Source organism: Homo sapiens, chromosome 5 (assembly GCF_000001405.40).
Source record: "Homo sapiens chromosome 5, GRCh38.p14 Primary Assembly".
NCBI lineage: Eukaryota > Metazoa > Chordata > Mammalia > Primates > Hominidae > Homo > Homo sapiens.
In genome coordinates, this window is record NC_000005.10 from 32,969,794 (window position 1) to 32,976,336 (window position 6,543).

The 6,543-nt window shown below is 37.2% G+C and overlaps 1 annotated feature.

Annotated features, from left to right (window-relative positions):
• Positions 439-704: a silencer, noted in NCBI's record as "fragment chr5:32970338-32970603 (GRCh37/hg19 assembly coordinates)". NCBI's record gives its function as "represses an EF-1alpha promoter that drives an FKBP-Casp9 reporter gene in an ReSE screen in HepG2 liver carcinoma cells {active_cell/tissue: HepG2}" and the evidence as "EXISTENCE:reporter gene assay evidence [ECO:0000049][PMID:32094911]".

The window sequence follows — 6,543 nt, forward strand, 5'->3', positions numbered from 1 at the left end:
GGTTACAGCTCATCCAAATGTCTCAGCCTCTATCAGTCTGTGAGAGTATACGTAGAGACTGTCTTGGTCCTTCTGGGCTGCTATAACAAAAATACCATAGGCTGGGTGGCTTAGAAATAACAGAAATTTTATTTCTCACAGTTTTGGAGGCTGGGCAGTTCAAGATCAAGGTTCAGGTAGATTCAGTATCTAATAAGGGCTCTTCCTGTTGCATAGTCTTCTCACTGTCTCCTATGTAGTAGAAAGCTGAGGGAGCTCTTGGGTTTCTTTTATAAGGGCATGGATCCCAATTATAAGGGCTCCACCCTCATGACCTAATCATCTCCTAAAGGTCCCATCTCCAAATACAATCACATTGGGGATTAGGTTTCAACATATGAATTGGGGGGCGGGGGAACATAAACATGCAGTCTGTAGTACACATGAAAATGTATTTCCAAATTTCCATGACTCTTAGCTCATACTTGCTCCTGTAGGCAGTCACCCTACCCACCCTACTCCCCTACTCAACTCCCCAACTCAGTCAAGGTTTCCCTGGGTCACAGTCAGGAGTTTTCCAAGGTCAAGGAGATTCCCAGGTTCTCAGTACTCAGTACCGCTCCTCTTCTTCTGTTTGTGAACCCTTTAGGAAGTCCATGGGTTCGTAGGCCTCAAATGAGGCCCCTACCCACTGCCTTGGAAGACAAGGATCCTGGGTGTGATGGGCTGAAAAATGATCCCTGAAGATATATATATTCGAATCCCTGGAATCTGTGAACATTATATTATATGGAAACAGAGTCTTTATGCATAGATTTCATTAAGATGATCAGATTTAATTAAGATGGGGATATTTTCTTGGTTTATCAGAGTAGGACCTAAATACAACCCACTGTCAAGGGAGGGGAAATAGGCTCCACCTTTGAAGACAGAAGTATCAAGAAATTTATCTAAAAATAAATTTCTTAAAACAACAGAAATTTATTCCCTAATGGTTCTGGAAGCCAGAAGTCTAAGATCAGCTTGATCAAGGAGGAAGCCACAATGTATTCTATGGCTTAGTCTCAGAAGTCACACACTTGCACTTCTGCCACATTCTGTTCATTAGAAGTGTCACTAAATACAATTTGGAGTACTTTGTTAAAGTGCTTTAGGAAATGAATATACTAGGAAGATACTGCTCCCTCCTCCTCTGTAGGGCACAAGCAGACATTATAGGGCATGCCTCATTCTGGATTCAGTTGGGTCATCTGAGCCCCTAGTCAACACTACTTATGCCTCGAGTCTCACAAGGACTTTTGTGGAAAAAATATATTTTACCTTCTAATGAAAAGTGACCATTCAAGTTTGAAGTGGAGGTGGGGAGATGAGTGAAAGAAAGTAGGCCAGGCCTTCCCCTCCATTGTCCTGGTTTTTCCTGTTCCCGTAGGCACCTGCCTCCAAGTTCCTCTTAATCTTCAGCAAAATACAAAACAAAGCAAAACAAACAAAACAAAGCACAACTCCATACAACCCCAACAATGCTTCCCATGCAGATCAACTGATACAGGGGGTGAGGCTGTCACTCTTCACTTTTCAGAGAAGCATTTGAGTTTGCTCAAATCCAGCCATACTCCCTGAACCATCTAGACATACTGAACTGCCTACTCCAGAACCAGGTGCCTAGAACATATTCAGAAAATGATGGCTACTGTGGGAGAAAAACTCTATTGGAATTGGTAGGACTGGGTTTGAACTCCCAGGTTTGCCTTTCCCTGGCACTGGCACTTTTTCTCATCTGTAAAAGGTGTGGTTGGGGTGGGGCCGGTGGTAAGCATATGCATCTCAAAGAGTAGTTTTAAGAATTTAGTGAGCATAGGGCCTGGTACGCAGATAATAAATAATTCCCACTCACTAATGCTTTTACATTTTGATTATTTCCTTACTTCTTCATGGCATTTTACGTGCAAATGTTTTACCACATTATTGTAGAATAATAAAAATAATCTTCAAAAGGTGATTATCTAGTCATCTCACTGATTGCATTATGAGTTCATTGAAGACAGAGATTGTCTTTTTACATCTTTTGTCTCTATTGTCTAGCACATAGCCGACTTTACAAATATCTGTTGACTAATTCAACATTTTAGACACCTCTGACAGCAGGAATGCCTTTTATTACTAGTTTTAATCAGAAACACAAATTCAAGTTAGATTGTTGCCTCTACCAGGTAACATGTTCATCTTCTTATGAGAACAGAAAAGAATGATCTGAATGGAAGCCTGGAACAGACTTAGCCAGAAACAAACAAACGAACAAACAAAACTGGTTACCTGAGCCAATGTGTATGCCTCTATAAGGTGAGAACAAAGTGCTTTAGAAACAGTGAGAGTCTTCAGTGACCCAGCTTTGACCTGTGTTCATTTCATGAAGTGACATTCAAGCAAACTTTTAGGACCATTTACTCAATCCTCTATGGGGTGCCTCATTTTTCAAAAAATTCAACCCATTGAAATAAAAACCTACTGATAAATAAGGCAATTGTTCCTATTTCAAAAGGAATTTTTTTCTTCACAATACTATCAGGTTCAAATGAGGGAGGTTCCTTAGAGCATTTAAAATATGACTACATTTCTAGAAGTTCTGCAACTTTGAGGCAAACACACCCATAGTGTGAAAATAAAGTCCACTTTCGATTTACATTAATATTCTGTGTTTTTGCATAGTTTAATTCTCCTAATTTATTCACTTAATCACTTTCTTATTTGTTCAAAAATCAGTTAAACAAATTTTACACTTCTGAGACACTGACCACAAGAAGGATAGTCTAAGTTGGTCTAAATAATGAAGAAGCCTAGTCTCTCAGCCCATGTGACATTACATGCCAGACAGGGAAGTTCACATGATTCTGAGTTAAAAAAAAAAACCCGAGTTCAAACTTCAGCATTATGAGTTGCAATACTAGTTGCATGACTTTGGGTAAATTACCTATCCTGCATGTCAGTTTCTCCATCTAGTATAAAAAGGACTAGCTCATAAGGTTGCCTGAGGATTCCTGAGATAACAAAGCACATGATGCTTGATTTACAGGGGCCAAGTGGCTGATAAAAAAATTGTTAGTTTCTTTTTTACCTCATCCAGATATCCTTCTTGTCTCTGGCCCCTCACCTCCTACAATCACAGGTAGCCCTCTAACTAAAATCAGACATTCTGAAATTTACATTTTATCGGCATTTTCCCCCGAAAGTATTCTATTGGCAAGACATAACAGCAACAATAGCGGCAGTAGCAACAATTGCTAATATTTTATTGAAGCCTCATGAAGTACCTGCATTACCTCATTTAATCATCACTACAACCCTTTGATCTAAGTAATAGTTATTATCTTTATTTTAAAGAGAGGTTAAAGTAACTTGCTCAAGTGAGATGCAAACTTAATACATGCTGTCGATACATACTGATGTGTTTTGTTACCTCCAAGTACAAAGGTAGTAGAATTTTCATTACTTGTAAGTATTAGAAAAGCTGTAAATTCTCTAGCCCCTTACTCAGAGATGCTGAAATAGTCCTAAATGTGAAAAAGAGAGGATGTTTCTACTGTGGAGACCTAGTATCATGACAGCTCATAACCAGAATATAAATGTGACATTTGACCTAGTGATCTTTTCTGAATCAAACTTTCTCTTTCAGCAGCCCCCGGTCTCATGAAACCTGGAACTTTCATTCTGCAGAGAGACTCTTGAGTAGAAGACTACCAATGAGATCCACTCATTTGCATACAAATATGTTAGTTAATTATTCACAGAAATTTTACATTACAAGTGAGAATTATTAAAAATTCCTTTGAATTTCCTAGAAAATAATTTTTAAGAAATTAAAGTAATAGACTTCATATTTTAGAACTGTTTTAGATTTACAGAAAAATGGCAGAGTTCCCTTTTGCCTCCTCTCCCCATTTCCCCTCCCCACTCAGTTTTTGCTTTTATTAACATCTTGCATTAATGTGGTATGTTTGTTACAACTGATGAGCAAATATTGACACATTATTAACTAAAGTCATAGTTTACATTAGGGTGACACATTATTAACTAAAGTCATAGTTTACATTAGGGTTCACCCTGTGTTGTAAAGCTTTATGTGTTTTGACAAATGAATAATGCCATGTATCCACCATTAGAGTATCATACAGAATAGTTTCACTACTCTAAAATTCCCCATGTGCCACCTCTCTTATCTCCCTCCCTCCTTTCAAAACCCCTCCAAACCACTGCTCCTGTTACTGTCTCTACAATTTTGCCATTTCCACAATGTCCTACAGTTGGATCCAAACAGTACACAGCCTTCTTAGGCTGGCTTCTTTCAGCAATATGCCTCCATGCCTTTTTGTGGTTTGATTATTCACTTCTTTTAGTTACGGAATAATATTCCATTGTAAGGGTATACCATAGTTTGTTTATCCATTCACCTATCCAAGGACAGCTGGGTTTCTTCTAAGTTTTGGCAATTATCAGCAAAGCTGCTATAAACATTTATGTACAGGTTTTTATGTAGATATAAGTTTTCAACTCATTTGGGTAAATGCTAAGGAGCTAGATTGCTGGATTATAAGGTAAGAATATGTTTAGTTTAGTAAGAAACTGCCACACAAATGCTTGGGCACAAATTTAACAAAATATGTATAAGATTTATATGAGGAAGAGTACAAAACAAAGAACATATTTTGTTAAATTTGTGCCCAAGCATTTCATTTTTTTTGGTGTTAATATAAATGACATTGTGCTTTAAACTTCAAATTCCAATTGTTCATTGCTGGTATATAGGAAAGCAATTGACTTCCTGTATACCAGCAATGGTATCTGTTAAAGATTAATAAAAAATAAACTAGGCATATTAACTTTGTATCCTGCAACCTTACTATAATTGCTTATTAGTTTCAGGAAGTTTTCTTTGTTGATTCTTTGGAATTTTCTACATAAACAGTTGTGTCATCTGTGAGCAAAGACAGCTTATTTATTTCCAAATCTATATACCTTTTATTTTCCTTCTTGACTTATTGCATCAAGTAGAACTTCCAATATGATGCTGAATATGAATGGTGAAAGTGGACATCTCTGCCTTGTTCCTGAACTTAGCAGGAAAATATCTAGTTTCTCACTACTAAGTATGATGTTAAGTGTAGGTTTCTGTAGATGTTCTTTATTAAGTTGAAGGAAAAATAAATTTTTAATGACAGGATTTCAGCAACCAATGAAGGGTGTTTTCTGGGGACAGGGGTTTCTTTCAAATAATACTTCACAGGGCTTCTGTTACATATGCGAATGGTCAAGCACAGTACAAGAAATGATTCTCTTCTCTCAGATAAACAACAAAAAGCTCCCAATCCTGCTCAAAGATGCTCTTCTACAGCAAAGGCAGATCCACTAATTTCCACAGTGAGTTCTCTCTTGTTAAATGAACTCAAAAGCCCCTACTGAATCCCTCCTAACACTTTTCTGCTGCAGAAATGCAAAGATAAGCAGAAAAAAATCCCAGTACTTTAAAAATTTACAGCGAAGTGGGAGCATTTTGGGGATGGAGCAGGGTTTGTTGAGTAGGATAAGATGTGTCTACATGTATCTAAAACGCAAGGTAAAGTATTCTAGATTTTGGCAGTACTTACAAAGTTAGACTTTGTTTTCTTCTTGCTTACTTCTTAGAGCAACCTAGTGGGTCATTGATATTTTTATTTCCATCAGATTTGGACCACTGTCATAAATTTGCTGAGCAGATTCTCTTGAATCCAGTTTCTTTAGCAGAGTTTCAAGGAAAGACCAGCAGATTCTTGTTATGAAGTCTGTCCTAGAATAAGTTGTTGCTGTCAGAGAGATAAAAGACAGCCACATCCAGGGAAAAGACACAAAATGTGATTGTGGAAGCTAGAGAAAGAGAGTACTCTAAAAGATCCCAGCTTTTAAAATGGAAAAAAATAGCTCCACTCAGGCTAAGTAAGGAGCCTTTTACATACATGCAATCATTTGTTTTCTAAACTATTTTTAAAATGAATTAACCAGAGTCCTGGAGGTCAGCTGCTGATTAAAGAGATCACTACTTGTAAAAAGTGATTTTGTTTTGTTTTTTTGAGCAAAGAACTAAGAGTTCCTTACATCATAAAGACTGTCAGGAGAAAATATCCCAGTGAAGGAAAAAATGCATAAAGAAAATATTGGAACTGAGTGCTTCCATAAATTGAATATGTTTGCATTTGTTGAAGTTCATGAGATTTTGCAGAGTGACAGATAATTTAGAACTGTTTGTTCAAAGAAGAGAGGAGATTGTAAGATGTCCTCAAAATAATTCCATATGTTAACATGTTAGTTCTTGGAAAATTCAGAGTATGTTCTGTCACCTCGAAAACAATCCCACACTGGGCAATGGCCTCCCAGGGCATAAAAGAAACAGATGCCACTGGCAAAGCTGAACTGTTTATTTTTAAACATAGAGACCTAAAGATTGGTAAAAAAATAAACTAGACATTTGAATATTTTTTTCTCACCAAGGACTAGAAGTGTGCATGTTGGGGGGTTGGGGCATGCATAAAAATCAAT